This window comes from Homo sapiens, chromosome 8 (assembly GCF_000001405.40).
Source record: "Homo sapiens chromosome 8, GRCh38.p14 Primary Assembly".
Taxonomy (NCBI): Eukaryota; Metazoa; Chordata; class Mammalia; order Primates; family Hominidae; genus Homo; species Homo sapiens.
Genome location: NC_000008.11, coordinates 23005947 through 23025037, shown reverse-complemented (window position 1 = coordinate 23025037; position 19091 = coordinate 23005947). Strand labels below are relative to the sequence as shown.

The 19091-nt window shown below is 51.9% G+C and overlaps 2 protein-coding genes across 12 annotated transcripts in view, besides 8 other annotated features; one reads left to right on the top strand and one right to left on the bottom strand.

Annotated features, from left to right (window-relative positions):
- Positions 1–4905, top strand: part of TNFRSF10B (TNF receptor superfamily member 10b) — a 48899-nt gene extending 43994 nt beyond the window's left edge. For all 3 annotated transcript variants that reach the window (NR_027140.2, NM_147187.3, NM_003842.5), the window contains 2 exons: positions 778–850; positions 2054–4905. Coding sequence is in view for 2 of the 3 variants with exons in the window: in NM_147187.3 (NP_671716.2) it covers positions 778–850; positions 2054–2367 (387 nt within the window). In the remaining variant the exon portion in view is untranslated. The remainder of the gene's footprint in view (positions 1–777; positions 851–2053) is intronic.
- The window catches only part of RHOBTB2 (Rho related BTB domain containing 2), a 69387-nt gene continuing 55134 nt past the window's right edge, over positions 4839–19091 (bottom strand). For all 9 annotated transcript variants that reach the window (XM_047421609.1, XM_047421611.1, XM_047421610.1 and 6 more), the window contains 7 exons: positions 18893–19078; positions 17292–18310; positions 16927–17045; positions 14350–14500; positions 10260–10348; positions 9295–9400; positions 4839–7786 (listed from right to left, as the gene is read on the bottom strand). In XM_047421609.1, the coding sequence (XP_047277565.1) occupies positions 7569–7786; positions 9295–9400; positions 10260–10348; positions 14350–14500; positions 16927–17045; positions 17292–18310; positions 18893–19078 (1888 nt within the window). In that variant the 3' untranslated portion in view covers positions 4839–7568. The remainder of the gene's footprint in view (positions 7787–9294; positions 9401–10259; positions 10349–14349; positions 14501–16926; positions 17046–17291; positions 18311–18892; positions 19079–19091) is intronic.
- Positions 4936–5498: an enhancer, noted in NCBI's record as "H3K27ac-H3K4me1 hESC enhancer chr8:22877053-22877615 (GRCh37/hg19 assembly coordinates)". NCBI's record gives its function as "activates a minimal SCP1, AML or CMV promoter by ChIP-STARR-seq in naive H9 embryonic stem cells {active_cell/tissue: H9 hESC(naive)}" and the evidence as "EXISTENCE:reporter gene assay evidence [ECO:0000049][PMID:30033119]".
- Positions 4981–5140: an enhancer, noted in NCBI's record as "active region_27103". NCBI's record gives its function as "activates an Ori minimal core promoter by ATAC-STARR-seq in GM12878 lymphoblastoid cells {active_cell/tissue: GM12878}" and the evidence as "EXISTENCE:reporter gene assay evidence [ECO:0000049][PMID:35858748]".
- Positions 5499–6063: an enhancer, noted in NCBI's record as "H3K27ac-H3K4me1 hESC enhancer chr8:22876488-22877052 (GRCh37/hg19 assembly coordinates)". NCBI's record gives its function as "activates a minimal SCP1, AML or CMV promoter by ChIP-STARR-seq in naive H9 embryonic stem cells {active_cell/tissue: H9 hESC(naive)}" and the evidence as "EXISTENCE:reporter gene assay evidence [ECO:0000049][PMID:30033119]".
- Positions 6359–6526: a silencer, noted in NCBI's record as "fragment chr8:22876025-22876192 (GRCh37/hg19 assembly coordinates)". NCBI's record gives its function as "represses an EF-1alpha promoter that drives an FKBP-Casp9 reporter gene in an ReSE screen in K562 erythroleukemia cells {active_cell/tissue: K562}" and the evidence as "EXISTENCE:reporter gene assay evidence [ECO:0000049][PMID:32094911]".
- Positions 6501–6770: an enhancer, noted in NCBI's record as "active region_27102". NCBI's record gives its function as "activates an Ori minimal core promoter by ATAC-STARR-seq in GM12878 lymphoblastoid cells {active_cell/tissue: GM12878}" and the evidence as "EXISTENCE:reporter gene assay evidence [ECO:0000049][PMID:35858748]".
- Positions 9947–10711: an enhancer, noted in NCBI's record as "H3K27ac-H3K4me1 hESC enhancer chr8:22871840-22872604 (GRCh37/hg19 assembly coordinates)". NCBI's record gives its function as "activates a minimal SCP1, AML or CMV promoter by ChIP-STARR-seq in naive H9 embryonic stem cells {active_cell/tissue: H9 hESC(naive)}" and the evidence as "EXISTENCE:reporter gene assay evidence [ECO:0000049][PMID:30033119]".
- Positions 10396–10445: an enhancer, noted in NCBI's record as "active region_27101". NCBI's record gives its function as "activates an Ori minimal core promoter by ATAC-STARR-seq in GM12878 lymphoblastoid cells {active_cell/tissue: GM12878}" and the evidence as "EXISTENCE:reporter gene assay evidence [ECO:0000049][PMID:35858748]".
- Positions 15780–16365: an enhancer, noted in NCBI's record as "OCT4-H3K4me1 hESC enhancer chr8:22866186-22866771 (GRCh37/hg19 assembly coordinates)". NCBI's record gives its function as "activates a minimal SCP1, AML or CMV promoter by ChIP-STARR-seq in naive H9 embryonic stem cells {active_cell/tissue: H9 hESC(naive)}" and the evidence as "EXISTENCE:reporter gene assay evidence [ECO:0000049][PMID:30033119]".

The following is a 19091-nucleotide window of genomic DNA, read 5'->3' as shown; positions in this document are numbered from 1 at the left end:
CTCGGACGACAGTTTTGTGCCACTACACCCAGCTTATTTTATTTTATTTTATTTTATTTTTAGAAACAGGATCTCGCTATGTCGCCTAGGCTGGTCTCAAACTCCTGGGCTCAAGCAGTCTTCACACCTCAGCCTCCCAGAGTGCTGGGATTACAGGTGTGAGCCACCATGCCTGGCCTCTGCTATGTGGTTTAACATTCATCAGGGCTAGGTGCAGTGGCTCACGCCTGTAATCCCAGCACTTTGGGAGGCCGAGGCGGATGGATCATCTGAGGTAAGGAGTTTGAGACTAGCCTGGCCAACATGGTGAAACCCTGTCTCTACTAAAAATATAAAAATACGATAAAATAATTAGCTGGGCATGGTGGTGCACACCTGTAATCCCAGCTACTTGGGAGGCTGAGGCAGGAGAATCTCTTGAACCCAGAGGTGGAGGTTGCAGTGAGCCAAGATCGCACTATTGCACTCCAGCCTGGGAGACGGAGTGAGACTCTGTCTCGAAAAAAAAAAAAATCATCAAGACATATTCACTTTTGAGTATTACAAATTAAACCTTGGGGTTTTAAAAATATACACTCCTAATCTAAAATATTGACTGCTGTATCGGCCTCCTTCCGAGAGTCTTGCCCCTTTGTCTCCTGTCTTGTTGCCAGACCTTTCAGAACAATGTTCTGGAAGTGACGTGCTGCAGGTCTCAGAGCTGGCTGGTGGTCGGGGTCAGTACTGGACTGTAGGACTCCTGGCTCTGACCAGGACATTCCCCACTATGTGTTACAGGAACCGGCAGAAGCTGAAAGGTCTCAGAGGAGGAGGCTGCTGGTTCCAGCAAATGAAGGTGATCCCACTGAGAGTAAGTGTTTTGCTCCTGGAGATGCAGCAGGAATGGAGGGAATAGGGACAGGGTCCTAACTGCTGTCCCCAGAGGTCAGAGGGCTCTTCCAGAGTATTCCATGCTGGAAGCCGTGGGTCCTGTGCTATAGACCATCTGGACCCTAAACTGTCTTCTCCCATCTCTTCTCCCCACTCTACCTCATCCTCTCTGCACCCTATCATTGACCCTAATGACTCTGTCCGTCCCCTCATCCTCTCTCCTCCTTTGTTCAGGGCCTGATGTAGCCCCCGCCTGCCCCTGAGGACCTCCTGAGGGGCTGGCCTGTCCTGCACAGCACCACTAACCCCAGTGGGCTAAGGAGCTCTTGACCTGTGCCTCAGCCCAATTTGCAGAGCTGTTGTGTAAACTACATACGAATGCCAAAGACTTAATGCAAAAAAGAGTGGAAAATATTTCACTCATAATTTTTGTATATTGATTGTATATTAAATTATATTTTAAATATATTCAGTACCATACATTAAAATGAATGTCACTTGTTTCTGATGTTCTTTAAAATAAGGCTGTTGGAAAACATAGCCTCGTGTTCCTGACCCTGTCTATCTCTGAGGACGGCGAGGTGCATCATGTTGCACACACGTCTCATTTAATCCCTCATCGTCCCGAGATCTGGGCAGCATTGCTCGGTCTTTGGGTTCACTTCTTGCTCAGAGTCTGTTTGCCTCCACCTAGCTCTGCCCCAGCCCCAGGAAGTGAGGCCGAGCTGGGTGAAAACAGAGGTCCCCTGTCCCAGGCCCTGTGCTTTCCACAGATGCAGAAGTGGCCGCCCTGGGACCTGCTCCCATGACAAGCGCAGCCCAGGCAGCCTCCTCCCTCCTCTAAGCTCCCGCTGCAGCCACTGTCTCTCCCTCCCTCGGACTCTCACGCACTTTACTTTCTGCCTCTGTAACGTCCATCCATACTCCCCTGGTGGGTTCTCAGCCCTGTATGAGGGCTGATTCTCTGACGACTTTGACTCCCCGCAGTGCCTTGCGTGTGGGGGAGGCCAGGCAGTGTGGGCGCGCTCTCTGTGGATGGGAAGCGGGTGGGCACTGGAGCGGCAGGTTTGCCCGCACACGGGGCTCTCCAGGTTCCCCGCCTTGGGTTCTGGGCCTGATGTGGAATCCTCTGCCCTTTCTGAGTCCCAACTCACCTGGCTGTCTCTGTGGCTTTCTCCACCAGCTCTGAGACAGTGCTTCGATGACTTTGCAGACTTGGTGCCCTTTGACTCCTGGGAGCCGCTCATGAGGAAGTTGGGCCTCATGGACAATGAGATAAAGGTGGCTAAAGCTGAGGCAGCGGGCCACAGGGACACCTTGTACACGATGCTGATAAAGTGGGTCAACAAAACCGGGCGAGATGCCTCTGTCCACACCCTGCTGGATGCCTTGGAGACGCTGGGAGAGAGACTTGCCAAGCAGAAGATTGAGGACCACTTGTTGAGCTCTGGAAAGTTCATGTATCTAGAAGGTAATGCAGACTCTGCCATGTCCTAAGTGTGATTCTCTTCAGGAAGTCAGACCTTCCCTGGTTTACCTTTTTTCTGGAAAAAGCCCAACTGGACTCCAGTCAGTAGGAAAGTGCCACAATTGTCACATGACCGGTACTGGAAGAAACTCTCCCATCCAACATCACCCAGTGGATGGAACATCCTGTAACTTTTCACTGCACTTGGCATTATTTTTATAAGCTGAATGTGATAATAAGGACACTATGGAAATGTCTGGATCATTCCGTTTGTGCGTACTTTGAGATTTGGTTTGGGATGTCATTGTTTTCACAGCACTTTTTTATCCTAATGTAAATGCTTTATTTATTTATTTGGGCTACATTGTAAGATCCATCTACACAGTCGTTGTCCGACTTCACTTGATACTATATGATATGAACCTTTTTTGGGTGGGGGGTGCGGGGCAGTTCACTCTGTCTCCCAGGCTGGAGTGCAATGGTGCAATCTTGGCTCACTATAGCCTTGACCTCTCAGGCTCAAGCGATTCTCCCACCTCAGCCATCCAAATAGCTGGGACCACAGGTGTGCACCACCACGCCCGGCTAATTTTTTGTATTTTGTCTAGATATAGGGGCTCTCTATGTTGCTCAGGGTGGTCTCGAATTCCTGGACTCAAGCAGTCTGCCCACCTCAGACTCCCAAAGCGGTGGAATTAGAGGCGTGAGCCCCCATGCTTGGCCTTACCTTTCTACTTTTATAATTCTGTATGTTATTATTTTATGAACATGAAGAAACTTTAGTAAATGTACTTGTTTACATAGTTATGTGAATAGATTAGATAAACATAAAAGGAGGAGACATACAATGGGGGAAGAAGAAGAAGTCCCCTGTAAGATGTCACTGTCTGGGTTCCAGCCCTCCCTCAGATGTACTTTGGCTTCAATGATTGGCAACTTCTACAGGGGCCAGTCTTTTGAACTGGACAACCTTACAAGTATATGAGTATTATTTATAGGTAGTTGTTTACATATGAGTCGGGACCAAAGAGAACTGGATCCACGTGAAGTCCTGTGTGTGGCTGGTCCCTACCTGGGCAGTCTCATTTGCACCCATAGCCCCCATCTATGGACAGGCTGGGACAGAGGCAGATGGGTTAGATCACACATAACAATAGGGTCTATGTCATATCCCAAGTGAACTTGAGCCCTGTTTGGGCTCAGGAGATAGAAGACAAAATCTGTCTCCCACGTCTGCCATGGCATCAAGGGGGAAGAGTAGATGGTGCTTGAGAATGGTGTGAAATGGTTGCCATCTCAGGAGTAGATGGCCCGGCTCACTTCTGGTTATCTGTCACCCTGAGCCCATGAGCTGCCTTTTAGGGTACAGATTGCCTACTTGAGGACCTTGGCCGCTCTGTAAGCATCTGACTCATCTCAGAAATGTCAATTCTTAAACACTGTGGCAACAGGACCTAGAATGGCTGACGCATTAAGGTTTTCTTCTTGTGTCCTGTTCTATTATTGTTTTAAGACCTCAGTAACCATTTCAGCCTCTTTCCAGCAAACCCTTCTCCATAGTATTTCAGTCATGGAAGGATCATTTATGCAGGTAGTCATTCCAGGAGTTTTTGGTCTTTTCTGTCTCAAGGCATTGTGTGTTTTGTTCCGGGACTGGTTTGGGTGGGACAAAGTTAGAATTGCCTGAAGATCACACATTCAGACTGTTGTGTCTGTGGAGTTTTAGGAGTGGGGGGTGACCTTTCTGGTCTTTGCACTTCCATCCTCTCCCACTTCCATCTGGCATCCCACGCGTTGTCCCCTGCACTTCTGGAAGGCACAGGGTGCTGCTGCCTCCTGGTCTTTGCCTTTGCTGGGCCTTCTGTGCAGGACGCTCAGCCTCAGGGCTCAGAAGGTGCCAGTCCGGTCCCAGGTCCCTTGTCCCTTCCACAGAGGCCTTCCTAGAAGATGCATCTAGAGTGTCAGCCTTATCAGTGTTTAAGATTTTTCTTTTATTTTTAATTTTTTTGAGACAGAATCTCACTCTCTCGCCCAGGCTGGAGTGCAACGGTACGATCTTGGCTCAGTGCAACCTCCGCCTCCTGGGTTCAAGCGATTCTCGTGCCTCAGCCTCCGGAGTAGCTGGGATTGCAGGCACCCGCCACCACGCCTGGCTAATTTTTGTATTTTTAGTAGAGACGGGGTTTCACCATGTTGGTCAGGCTGGTCTCGAACTCCTGACCTCAGGTGATCCACCTTGGCCTCCGAAAGTGCTGGGATTACAGGCGTGAGCCACCAGCCAGGCCAAGCTATTCTTTTAAAGTAAGCTTCCTGACGACATGAAATAATTGGGGGTTTTGTTGTTTAGTTACATTAGGCTTTGCTATATCCCCAGGCCAAATAGCATGTGACACAGGACAGCCATAGTATAGTGTGTCACTCGTGGTTGGTGTCCTTTCATGCTTCTGCCCTGTCAAAGGTCCCTATTTGAAATGTGTTATAATACAAACAAGGAAGCACATTGTGTACAAAATACTTATGTATTTATGAATCCATGACCAAATTAAATATGAAACCTTATATAAAAAGAGGTGTGGTTTTTGTCTCCCGCCCCCCAACCTCCCCTCCTCCTGTGAATCAGCTCTGAGTGACAGGAAACCAGGGCTGTGCTCCTGCTGGGACTCCTTCCTTCCTCCCTCCCCTCTGTTTTCAGGCTTGGCCTCCTGGGGGTGTTTCCTGAATCCGACTCCCCAGAGTTTAAAGAGCTAGGTTCCTGGGGACTGGGATTCATACCTCCTTCCCCTCTCTCTCCTGCCTGCTCCTCCCTCTGGGGACAGGGACACCAATGTTGGCCTGGCTCACCCACAGCCTCCCAGGAGAGTTCTCTGGGCTGCCGGGTTGCATCTGGTTCCGACAGCTCTCGGGGAATGGGCGGTGGGTCCCTGAAGTTGGGGGGCCGGCCCTGTTTCTCAGGGAATCCCGTGGTCACTCTCCTATGGCTTCCTACAGCCCTGGGTCGACCTTCACTTTCTCTGCCCCGGCCTTCCCTGCATCCCCACCAGGGTACCCAGGTTGCTCAGCGCTTCAGGCACCTAGGAGACCTATTTCCCGTTCCCCTTGCCCTGGAGGACCCGCTCTCCCTTTCGTCCACAGCTTCCGGGAGGCCCAGGTGTGCCCCCACGCTGTCCATCTTCCCTAGAAGTGGAGGTGCTCCGGGTTCCCCCTTCGTCCCCCCAGCCCTGCCCATGGGCTTCTGGGCCTCACTTGGAGCCCTGGGCTGCGCTGAGCTGCAGGGAGGCCGAGCAGCCTGTAGAGGGCAGCATACGCGTGGCTTTCCAGCCAGCCGCCCTGGAGGCCGTGGAGGGGAGGCAGCCACAGTCCTGGAGGGGCCTGGGCCTGGACAACATGGCCGCCCCCAGGGTTAGAGCCGCTTGTCCTCCAGCCGCCTGGTCTCTCTTGATGAGGATTTAACCTCTGGTCATTAGGTCCTGCCTGCTACCTTTGTTTCAGGTTAGCTCAATCCCAGGCCTAACCAGCGTTTTCCTGGAGCCCACCCCAGGGCCAGGCCCTCTCAGCTAGAACATCTCTCTCAGGTAAGGCGACTCCTGAGCTCTGAGCCCACAGCCCCACTGCCTCCTGGCTCTGCCCCTCCTCCGTGGGACTCCATCTTTTACACCTAAAAAGAGTGTGGGTGGTGAAATCTGAGTCGGGGTTAGAAAACGGAAAGGGGCAATTGTGGCCCAGCTGCTGCCCCATGGGGGCTGGGAGCTAGTTTCAATCCCCCACATTCCTCCAGCCCCGCCCTCCTCCTCTCTAGACCAACTCTGCTTTTCCTCCTGCTCCATTCTCCCTCTTCTCCTTCCCCTTATCCCACCCCAGCAGTAATAAGGCTGTGTCCTGTGGCCTTTCACTACAGGTCAGTGCCCCTTTCCCTGACTTTTGGCCCCTATTGCAGCCCCGCAAAAACACCCACCATAAGCACTCTCTGAGGGTAAGGAAGGGAGCCTGCAGTCTCCAGATGGGCAAAAGCAAGAGTCTGGTGCCATTTAAGCCCCGAGACCAAACCCCTCTTTGCCGCCAGCCCGGGCCCCTCAATCACCAGCCCTCTAGAGGCCAGGCCCCTGTGTTGCCCTCGGAGCCAGCTGGCAGGGTCAGGGCCTCCGCAGTCAGAGAAGTGCCGAGTCCTTTCCTGAAAGGCATTGGAGTCGATTCTGCAACCTAAATCTTCACCTCCTCATCATGGGGGCCTCTGTTTATAGAAATGTGAGCTAGGCAGGGGCTTTTTCTGATTTTCATTCTTTGGAGGGATAGAGGACAGAGTGTTTGTTGATTTTTCGTTTCGGTTTCAGTTTGGTTGTCATTGGTTTTTGTTTTTTGCTAATTTTGCCCCACCCTATAAAAAGCAGTGCCACCCAGAGGCAGGGGAGGGCCCTGAGGAGCACGGGGTCGCCGTGCACTCATTCCTACTTCCTTCTCCACCTGTCCCAGCTGCTTCCTTTGGTTACCATCTCCAAATCTGAGGGTAAAGGAGGGGGTGAGGGAGAAGTTTCTTGTTGCACCAAGAGGCACTGCTTCCAGGCCTGGAGCTCTGAATGACCTGTGTCCCCATTCTCAGGTCTGTGCTAGCACAGCCCCCTGGGACGGAGGGACACTGGCAGGATACAGGCCTTTCCACGTCTGGCCTTTTGCAGCTGCACCCCAGGATGTAGAAGCCTTGAGTTGGGCTCTGAAGGCTCAATTTCTACCCTGACTTCTCCAGTGAGGGTGTGAGTAGGCTTCGTGTGGAAATGCCCACAAAACAAATGCAACACTCAAGTCCGTCGGTGGAAAGATATGGCCAACAGGGGCAGGACCCTCGAGGATCACTTCTGCTTGCTGGGAGTGGGGCTGCCTCCCTGGCCAGAGCAGCAACCAAGACACACAGAGAAGCCCTGGAGGCTGGGAGGCTTTCCCTTTGACTCTAGGGCTCTCAAACCCAGAGATAAAATGCCAGGGCTCTTCGCTCCTCCAAGCAGTTGTCTCCCGTCCTGCTTTGGGTCTGGGGACCTCTGCAGGTGGTTCCCGTTCTGCTCCACAGGGCTCAGCTCCTCTCTGGCTGAGCCACGGTGGCTGGTAAGAAGAGCTCCACCCTCTGGGTCCTGGTTACGTGGGCCCCCTGGTCCCTGTAAGGTGGATGGGGTGATGCGGAAGAGCAGAGGGGTGAAGGCGGATGGGGACAACAGCAGCAGGGTCAGAAGAGGGTGGCAGCATCTCAGACCACAGCCGAGGAGGAAGATGGGGATGAGGAGGAGGCTGCCGAGGAAGACGGGGAGGATGGACTGTTCCAGAAGAGCCAACGCCGTTTGGGCTGCCGCTTGAGGTGGAGGTAGTCCTCCTTCTCACGCTCCTTCCGTGCCCGCTGGTAATGATCTTCCTCCTTCAGGTACCACACAGGTGGCCACCGATGCTTCTCGAAATACTCCTGGTTTTCTGGAGCAGAGAGCAGGCAGCTTGGTTAGAAAGGAGGCAGAGGGACAAGAGGAACGTGGGACACCAGCCCTACCCCACCACAAGGCCTGCAGCAGGCCTCCAGCCCAGCCCCCAGCACATCCCCATGACCCACGGCACATGAGCCTCCGAGGCAAGCAAAGTTCCCAAAGAGCAGGGCTGAAAGTCAGCACTGGGGAAGGCCTTTCCAGCTGGGTTCCTTTCCAAAGACGGGCGATCTAGACAAGGGCTTCCTGTGCGTTGGGAATGAAACAGAGGCGAAGGATAAGGGAGAAGGGGTAAGCGAATGTCAGCCAGGAGATACTCAGCATGGTTAGGGGATGAGAGTGGAAGTTTCTGGCCAGAGCTAAGGTTCCGAGGGGGAATACGGAGTCAGGACACAGCAGGACACAGCAGCAGACCAGAGGAACGGCTGGCCTTATTCTGCAGGGTATGGGGGGCCATGGAAGACTACTGTTTCAGTGGAAGGTCTGGAAGCAGGGAGTGATGCTATTGGACCTGTGCTTTAGAAAGAAAATGCTAGCCTGGGTGCAGTGGCTCATGCCTATAATCCTAGCACTTTGGGAGGCCGAGGCAGGCAAATTGCCTGAGGTCAGGAGTTTGAGACCAGCCTGGGCAACGTGGTGAAACCCCGTCTCTACTAAAATACAAAAAATTAGCCAGGCATGGTGGTGGGTACCTGTAATCCCAGCTACCCGGGAGGCTGAGGCATGAGAATCACTTGAACCCAGGAGGTGGAGGTTGCAGTGAGCCGAGATTGTGCCACTGTACTCCAGCCTGGGCAACAGAGCAAGACTGTCTCAAAAAAATAAATAAATAAATAATTTTTTTTTAAAAGTGTTGTAGTAGTGAAAAGGAGAGATCGGGGTGGAGACTTGGCAGCATGAGGCAAAAACACGGCAGCAGGGAGGAGGGTCACGGCAGACTGGAGGGAGCCCAGAGAGGACCCCATGGAAAGAGTGGCAGACCCTTCAGGGAGGCCAGGGACACCTCTCCCTGGAGCCTGTGCAGTTTCTGTTGAGTTCTAGGGCCTAAGAAATTAATCAAGAAGAGACAGGAGGCCTCAGAGGATGCCCAGACCTGGGTGGTCCAAGCTGTGGCCTGTACCCATTCCTGGGTTGTACCATCAATTTAGTGGGCCATGAGCAGCATTAGAAAGATGTATATATTTTCCTATATGTGTCCTGGGTCACAAGATGAAATGTATTTCTTACGGTATTCTGTCCAGAAAAGTCTGAAATCTACCAACTTTAGTCCAGTATCCTCTTCATACCTCTGAGAATGAGAAGCCCAGAGAGGCAGGGTGAGTTGCCCTCCAGGCCAGCACTTTTCCTGGGGCCCCTTGGCTTGGCTGGAGGCTCCTTTGCAGGCTGCTCCCAGCCCCAAGGTCAAGGATTACTGGCAGCCTCGGGGTCCCTGGGATTACATGGGAGCTGTGCACCCCTAAGGGGAGGGCAGCAGGTACTGCCAGGACTGGCCCCGATGCTCACCTGGGGACATGGCCTTCATGTCTCGGGGGAACTTGCGGCACACGTTGTTGTAGTTGGTGCAGATGTGGTGGAGACACCAGTCGGCCAGCTGGTACGCACAGTGGAACTGGGGACAGAAGGGAAGAACGTCTGTACTGAAATCCCCAGGGGAGAGGGTCTGCATAGACACCTCCAGCTGCCTTCAGAGCTGAAGCTCTGGTGCAGGGCACGCAGAGGCCCTGCAGTTCTAGAGAGCCTGCGCCAGAGGCAAGGCCACACAAAACTGAGGATGATGATGCTGCCTCAGGCTCCTTGGCACCACCGCCAGCACCACCATCATCTCACCTCTGTTCTGCCCACTCCTGGCATCCTCGCTGCAGACACCAGAGCCCTATGTAGTGGCTTCATACTGCATCTGCCCTCCTCAGATCTCAACCTACCTGACTTCTCTCTCCTCCACATCTGGGATCAAGGCAGCCTGCACGGAGGCACTGACAATGAGCTAAGGGAGCTGCCTTCCCAGGGGTGTCTGCAAGCCCTGCCTGAGCCGTGCTTCCACTCCACACACTAATCTTTGGTGGCTGAATTTCTGGCACTGTGAAGGCCACTGTGGGAGATTTGGCTTGTTTGTTTGGGATTAAGGGAGTAGGCGGTTAATTTCAGATGGAAAGTCCTCAGTGCCCCTTAAATGACCTCAGGCAGGCAGCAACCATGTGTAAGCCTGAGCCTGGGGTTCCCTCCCCAGCCCTACTGCTGCCTAAAGCCTCATCCCTTCCCCACTTGGTCAGCTCCCCTCCGGGTACACCAGGGAGTTCCCCAGCTGCTTCCTGGCATGGAGGAGGAGATGGGCTACGCGCAGTCAAAGAGCCCAGTCCGATGACAGGTTCTCCCGCATAGACCATCTTCCACCCCTTCCCATTCGCAGCCAATGGGCAGGCAGAGTGTAGAACTGAGACTGTTGTAGATTCCCTCCCCTGCCATGATACCTGAGCCAGTTCCAGGAACACAAGGACGTCCCCATCGATGTCCACCATCATCTGGGTCGCTTCCATCAGCCCGGTCACTGTGTACTGCTCTGTAACACACACGGCCACCAATCAGCTGAAGAAGCACATGACCTGTGCTCACCCTGCCCCACCACATCCCCCAGCTCACTTCAGGGTGAGGAAAACCAGGGCCCGGGCAGGTCCGGACAGGCCAGGAAAGGCCCCAGGCTATGACGTCTGCTGCCACCAGGGGGACCCCAGGGATGACAGCAAGAGCTCAACGGGGTAGGGTAGGAAGAGAAGGAGGACATTGGAATTACCTAAGAGGATTTTTCAAACTACGTATGTCCCGTGACATAATCTGATACAGGTAGGGTCAAAGTTCCCAACAGAACCAGCCTCTGATACAAAAGGGAGAGTGTGTGAAACCTCATGTCTGCTGATCACAGAAAAAGGCTGAGAACTGTGAGTTAGAACTAGGAGTTAAGTCTAGTTGTTTGTTTTAATTTAAATTTTGTAAAAAATTGTGTACTAACCTTGTATTTTAAGTTAAAACACTTATATTGAAGAAGTAAACACCCTTGGTTCTGAATTTTAATTAGAAGTATCAGTATAAACTCATGAGGTATCTTATCTTTAAAAAGATCAATATATTTCCCAGCTCTGCCCCCAGAAAAGACCTAGAAACAACAGTCATCCCAGTACAATGAGCATTCCTAGTGCACACAAATACCAGTTCCACTTCCAACACAAGAAACTAGGACTTCCTGGAGAAATGGCTGATTCCAGGTCTGGGGCACAGAACCTTCAAGAGGAACCTAGAACATCTCATCATTCCAGATAGAGAGGAAGCTCGTAAGACTCTGGAGTCAAGCCAAAGAGTGCAGGATTTGAGCTTCAGCAAGGATAACTGCAATTAACTGAAACCAATCAAGAATGTTCAAATCTAAGGGGCCATAATAATACTTCAAAAACAAACAACTGGCCGGGCACGGTGGCTCACGCCTATACTCCCAGCACTTTGGGAGGCCAAGGCGGGTGGATCACTTGAGGCCAGGAGTTCAAGACCAGCCTGGCCAACATGGTGAAACCCTGTCTCTACTAAAAATACAAAAATTAGCCGGGTGTGTTGGTACGTGCCTGTAATCCCAGCTACTCGGGCGACTGAGGCATGAGAATCTCCTGAACCTGGGAGGTGAAAGTTTCAGTGAGCCGAGATCACATCACTATACTCCAGCCCAGGTGACAGTAAGACTCCATCTCCAAAAATAAAAAATAAAAGTAAAAAATAATGCAAAAAACCATGCTGTAGTGTTTAATGACACACACTTGGATGATAAAACTATAAAGGAAAGTAAGGCAGTATGCCCATAAAAAGTGCCATAAAAAAAGGAATACTAGGCAAAGGGCTTCCTCTTAGGGAGGAGAGAGGGGTCTGTGAGAGAGGAGGGAGAGGTGGAGGACTTCTGGTGGCCAGCAAGGTTCTAGTTCCTGACATAGGTCATGAGTAGAAAGGCATTTTCTTTATAATAATTCATTAAACTAGGCCAGGCTTGGTGGCCCACGCCTGTAATCACAGCACTTTGGGAAGCCGAGATGGGAGGATCACTTGAGGCTGGAGTTTAAGACCAGTCCAGGCAACACAGTGAGACCTCATCTCTGCAAAAAATTTAAAAATTAGGCCGGGTGTGGTGGCTCACGCCTGTAATCCCAGCACTTTGGGAGGCCAAGGTGGGTGGATCACTTGAGGTCAGGAGTTCAAGACCAGCCTGGCCAACATGGCAAAACCCCATCTCAAATTACAAAAATTAGCTGGGTGTGGTGGTGTATGCCTGTAGTCCCAGCTACTCAGGAGGCTCAGGCAGGAGAATCGCTTGAACCCAGGAGGCAGAGGGTGCAGTGAGCCAGGATTGCACCACTGCACTCCAGCCTGAGAGACCAAGTGAGACTCTATGTCAATAAATAAATAAATAAATAAAAATAAATTTAAAAATTAGCTGGGTGTGATGAGGCAGGCCCATAGTCCAAGGTACTTGGGAAGCTGAGTTGGGAGGATCGCTTGAGCCCAGGAATTTGAGGCTGCAGTGAACTATGATCAGGCCATTGCACTCCAGTCTGCGTGACAGAGCAAGATCCTGTCTCTAAAAAAACATAATAACAATAGTAATTCAGTAACCTGAACATATGTTTAATATGCTTTTATGTATTTGTGTTCTACTGAGCAATAAAAGTTTTCAACTTGAATTAATGGCCTCATAGGAAGCATATGTCACAAAACTTAAACCATCGCCAATTATATAAAACTTGGCATCTTCCCCTGATCCTTAACAAGGCAGATATAAACATTTTTGTGGATGTTCCCTAGTGTGTATCGATAATTTCATGAAAAGTTACTTAACATTATTTTCAATAAGCCTTTCCATGCAGCAGTCTAGTTTAACATTTTTAATGACTACCATGTGAAAACTGCCTGTGTGTGCTTCACCAACGGTTTTTCTGTGACTTGCTTTCAATTGCCTGCCATGACGAAATGAACTTCTAGAAATACCTTTATGCATTTTTCCCCTTTGGGTCATTTCTCTGGAGATAGTCTTTTAAAAGTGGAATTATTCCATCTAGGAATTTGAAGTTTTATGTGCTCTGGGAAGATCACACCATTTTTTTATGGACAGCAAAACAAGATATACTGTTGTAGCTGGGATCTTTAGATGCCTCTCTTGCTACCTGCCCCAAAGTTCCCTTTATCCCCTTCTGGGGACCCTGGACTCCCACTGCAGCCTCCGCTCTTAATATTCTGGTTCTGATCAATGATTTCTGCCTTCTTTCTGTAACCCAGCCCCACCTTATCATTCATTTTTCCTCACGGATTGCTGTTTTCCCTCATATCTGAGCCCCGATCTTGATCATCTGCCTGGACCCCAGCAGCTCTGACACTGGGTTCTTCCCTGAATCTCAACTCAGTATGTGAGGATGTGCTCTCTGTCCCCGACCTATGCAAGAATATTAACCTCGGCATCAACACCAGCGCTGGTACCCCTGCCGCCACCACTAGCAACTCAAGTGCCAACTCCAACATGAACGAGAGCCGTCTGCCTGCCTGGGTCTCTGGCCCCAGGCTCCCTTCACCCCACGAGCACCACTTCTCTTCCCTGGCCCCTTGGACCCAGACTGCCTGCCGCTGGCTCTCCCCCATGACTCAGTTCTTGTTCCAACTCAGAGAGCCCCTGGGATTTGTCCACACTAAAAGCTGAGCTCCGGCTCGTACAATCCGTGCAGGGACTAAGGAGTGGCAGGGATGTTTGTGTGCTGTTTCTGGAAAGAGGATGAGAAGGTGATGTCAAAGGTAGGGGAAGAAGAAAAAAGGCAAAAGAAGAAAAATAAAAGGAAAGGAAGAAGGAGGAGAACCACAGGGTAGAAATGTGGGAATTGTGTTCTATTATTTTTTGACTTCTTAAGCTTGTCCAAGTGAAGCCAAGCAAAGAACATAAAGCACTGTCATGTTCCATTTTTTGTTTGTTTGTTTTTGAGACACAGTTTCACTCTGTCACCCAGGCTGGAGTGCAGTGGTGCAAACTCAGCTCACTGCAAACTCCACCTCCCGGGTTCAAGCAATTCTCTTGCCTCAGCCTCCCGAGTAGCTGGGATTACAGGCGCCTGCCACCAAACACAGCTAATTTTTATATTTTTAGTAGAGACGGGTTTCATGGCAGTTTGCCATGACGGGTAAGACCATGTTGGCTAGGCTGGTCTTAAACTCCTGGCCTCAAGTGATCCTCCCGCCTTGGCCTCCCAAAGTGCTGGGATTATAGGTGTGAGCCTCTGTGCCCAGCCTCATGTTCCATTTTGTTGGGTTTAAATCGCCTTTGGAGAGAGCCTCTCAGGTGACCCCATCAAACATGCCCCGCACCACCCTTCTTCACTCTGTGTCCTCATCCAGAACTCTGTGCCCGTCAACAGATTCCATTTCATGTACGCTTAGTCCCTTGGACATCAGCTTGTCCCCCAGGAGAGACGTGAGAGGAGAACATTGCACCTTGGGGTTTCCCTGGCCTCTGCCGCGGGGAGGTCCCCGAGTGCACTGCTTAGTTACCTGTGAGGGCAACCAGGTGTGGCAGGCAGAGGCGGTTGGCTAGAATGATGAGCTTCATGTCATCCAGGTCGGGGCTGGAGGTGAACATGCCGGTGTAGAGGTATTCCAGCACGGCCCGCATGCAGCTCTTGCTTGTGTAGGGAAACACCACCTGGGGAGGGAAGGAGTGAGCGGACAGCAATGAGATCCTGCTTAGGAGAAGATGAACTGAACCCTGAGAAATTGAAGAGCTCTGGCCCTCACACCCAGGCTCCCCCAGACGGGCAGCCTTCCCTGTGCTGCATGTGTATCTGCTGAGAAGACCCTGAGAACACCTGACCCCTAGAGCGACAACCTGTGCTGAGCCCCAGTTTGCTGACAGCACCAGAGTACAGGCCTCTACTATCATTTATGTGTTTATTTTTAGAAACAGCGTCTTGTTATGCCATCCAGGATGGTCTTGAACTCCTGGTCTTAAGCATTCCTCCTGCCTCAGCCTCCTCAGTAGCTGGGACTATAGGCACAAGCCATGGCGTCCAGCTTCTAAACTCTTCCAAAGGGACCCAGATACTACTCACTGGCACCCTTTGGAAGCCGCTCTTGCTCGCGGGATGCTTGAAGGAGGCCTTCTGGTCACCTCAATCTACACCTCAGTCCCTCCCATCCCTGCACAGAACAGAAGTGGGATACAGAATAAGTAAGGCCCACAGCAGCTGATTTCTTTCTGTCTGCTCAGAGCTGCTGCTTTGGGCCTCCAGGATCTCTTGAGAGCAGCGCTGCAACACAAACTGCCTTCTCATCAGGCTCTCCAGGCTGTGCTGGGAACTGGCTAGAAGTTTAAAGCTGGCGTCTACAGTACCGAGAAGTGCCCGGGGCTGGCAGGCCCCTGGGGCTTGTGAGAGCTCCTAGTCTCACATTTTGTATATCCAAATCCTACTCCCACTTCAGAGACCAACTCCCAACGCTTCCACTTAGCCTTCCTTAAGTACTTCCTTCCCAGAAATCTTAGAAAATGCACATTCCACATCACGGGATGCGATGCAGCCCAGCCTCGTGCTTGGTTCTGTTTTTCATTCAAGCATTTGGTGAGCATTTCCCAAGAGACTGGCGCTGAGAGGGTTTTTGGCAGAAGGAAAAAGACCCAGTCCCTGCGCTCAGAAGCAGTTACAGAACAGTAGGGGAAACGGTGTGGACGTTCAGAACTCCACGCGCCTGCACAAAGTCGAACCTCGTTAACTACAAGGTTCGACGACACTCAGTGATGGGCAATTGAGGTCCAGGAGTTCAGAGCACACCAAGGGCTACTGCCCAGGCTACTCTGCTTGGAATGGAAAAGAGACCAAACCTAAGAGAATATTTCTAAGGACACATTGATAGGCTTCTTCCAACCCTAAGTTTCCAATCTAGGTGAGTGAGAAAGTGGTGGCATCGTGAGAGCTAGAGGGTCACTGATTAGAGAGGCAGGTGGTTCTATTAAGTATGCTTTTCCTTCCCTTCCTCCCTCCCTCCCTCCCTTCCTTCTTTTCTCTCTCTCTCTCTTTTTTTCTTTTTTTCTGTAGAGATGGTGTCTGTGTTTCCCAGGCAGGTCTCAAACTCCTGGGCTCAGGCAATCCTCCCACCTCAGCCCCTCAAAGTGCTGGGATTACAGGTGTAAGCCACCCCCTACACCTATTTTCTGTATTTTGTTGCTTTGACAACTAAAGCCTTGCTGGCCCTATAGGGACTGCCTCCCTCAGGGCTGGCCAAGTCCTAGGGATAGTGAAGGAGTTGCCTGCAAGTGTGCCTTTCATATGCAAACCAACCAATCCAGAGCCCACAGCCCACTACCTCCCCTATGGGCCCTCACACTCCAGGCCACTGTTCCCCTGCCCTAATCCCCCTAGAGCCAGGTGACAGACAACTAGAGACAGCATCCAGGCCCCAGAGCCGGCTAACATTATTCAAACAGCTAATCCTAAACCTGCTCAACCTGCCTCGCCCATTCCCTCCCACAGAAACCCTCTGCCTCCTGATTGACCCCAGAGCTTCCCCATGTGACCCCAGCCATGGTGCTGTGGCATGCCCCCTTTTCTTGGGATCTGTAACAAGTTGTCTTATCAATGACAGCCATCTTGCAATCTGTGGGCCTCTCTACACCTCAATAATAATAAAACCTATCTTTTAAAACAGTGATGCATTCAGTTGTTTCAAGTGTGTCAGGGAGGCAGTAAGGTACAAAGTAAAGAGCCAAGGAATGGAAGTCCTGAGTTCAAGTCCTAACTCTACTTCCAACTTCATACAAGTCACTTAACTTCTCAGGGGCTCCCTTTCCTAGATATACGGCAGGAGTGGCACATGTGTACGTTGCGTGTGAATTTAATGAGATAATGAACAGAAAGTGCTTTCTAAACTCTCAAGTTGAGGTGTCAGTGTAATTCCCTTTCCTGGTGTATTGTATAATCCTTAGCTCCAAGAACCACCTCATAAACCTCTCTTGGGCCCATCACCCTGTGGTTAGCACACAGTCAGTGAAGAAAGTACCCTGAGTGGCAGTGCCTCAGATGTAAAGGGTGCAAATGTCTCACTCCCTCCTTCCCCCCTTTGTGTCCTCAGCCTTACCTCCCGGGTGGAGCTCTCCACAAATGGCCCCCCAAACATGGCAGCCATCCAGTCACAGCTGGAAATCAACAGGGGCTTGTGGGCGCTGATGGTGCCATCATCCAGGATGAAGGTCACATCTGTCCAGAAGAAGCATCACAGGAGGACTGGTGAAAGAAGCTGGGAGAACAAGCCCCAAGGGGAGCCACGGAGCCTCCTCCTGAACCCAGAAGATTCGGGGCACGGAACAAACCCGCTCCCAGCTGGGGAAAACCAGGCTTCAAGAGCATGGCAGCCGCAGCTCCAGGACACCAGGAGCTGAGACAGACAGGCAATGCTAATAGCACCAATGCAGAACCCCCTTGCTTTCCAAGCCTGTTCCATACCTGAGAAGGTGCCTTTTGCCAAGCACTCCTTAACCCGGTTGGTCCGGCGGACGTGGAAGGCCTTGGTGATCTCCTGGTTCATGAAGGCCTCATTGTTGAGAATGTTGGCCACCATCATGCGCAGATCAAAGACCTCGAGCAGCTCAGCAATGTGGGCAATGTGCATGAGGTCACGCTCGTTCTCATCTAGCTCCCCCGTGTACAGGTACTTGAGGACAGCCCGGAAGGGCCCCGGCTGGATGGAACTGTCCATCTTCACCACCACCATCAGCCGGGATTTGTAGGTGAGAGGATCTTCTGCCATCTCTTCCTGGATGCTCACAAAAGCTCGGCTCCAGGAAGACAGCACACGACCCCTGCCCGGTAGGTACCCTGTTCCGTTGCCCCGTAAGATCCCGTCGCTGGTGGAAGCACGGAGGCCAGCAGGACCGGAGCCCCCAGCCTCATCCACGCTCTCGCACACGTCAAAGCTGGCTGCTCGGAGCAGGAAGTCTCGCCCATGGTGGTGGTGGTGATGGTGGTGGTGTTGATCAGAGTGGCCCTGGTGGTCCTCTGGGTGGGTGCCCCCTGGCTCCGAGGGGCCCCCCAGCTCCCCCTCACTCAGGTCCATGAGGAACAGGTCATAGAACTTGGAGGAAGAGGTGGAGAGGTAGATCTTGTGGGCAAAGATGCGCACCCGCTCCTGCAGCACCAGGATGACGTCCGCGCAGAGCGGGTCCTCCAGGAGGTGGGCGGGGCACTCCTCGCTGCTGGAGGGAGGGTCGGGCACCACGATGATCGGGGGCGGTGGCTTGGGGGGTAGGAAGGGTGCCTGCAGCAGAGGCCGCTGCACATTGCGGAGGTGGGACTTCCAGAACTGCAGGTGGCGGCGGGAGATGAGTGCAGCTCGGATGGCGTTGTCAAAGACGTCCTTGATGCCGAACTGGGCCACCACGCTGGTCTCATAGTAGGGGATGCCCAGCTCCTTGGCCACCTCCCGACCCTTCTCTGGGGGCAGGATTTCATTAGGTTTGATGGGCCTGGTAGGTTCAAGAAGGAAACCAAGCTTGTGTTGGTGGTGGAGGGAGGCTGCCTGTTCTTCCACAGGCTGGAGGGACTCTGCTCAGGATCTGGGTGCCAATCCCCACCCACTCCTGCCCTGCTCTGTCTGGCCAAATCCCATCAAGCTCCTTCAAGGTCCACTCCAAGCCCTTTTTCTTCCAGAAAGCTTTCCCTACTATGCCAGGCCCCAGTGACCTCCCCAGTACAAAGCCGTGACAGCACTGCCTCTCTGGCAATTAGCAGGCAATGCTTCACATGGGTATTTAACATGCTCACATATTTAGTTTATCCCTCAGCAAAATTATAGGACTTTTTCATGCAAATATCACCTCTTCCTCTCTATTTTTCTTCATGATGCTTTACATAGCACTGCCCACACCAGAGGTGTGCAACAGGTATATGAATGAATGAATGAATGAGCATGCTTGTTGACTCCCAATGCAAGCTTGCTCCAAATGGAGGGAGAGATATGAGGCTCAGTGGAATTCCCCCAGGGCTGAGCAGGGAGCCATGGTGAGGCACCCATCCATGTCTGTCTCCTTGGTACCAGCACCTCCTACCTAGCCAAGGGTCGCCTAGCCCTGTTGACAGCCTCCAGGTCAGCGTAGCGCAGGTCCAACTGGCAGCCCACCAAGATGACAGGTGCTCGGGGGCAGAAGTGCTTGATTTCTGGGTACCACATGGTCTTGACATGGTGGAGGGAATTGGGGTTGGCAATGGAGAAGCACAGAACCACCACATCAGATCTGCGGGTGGGAA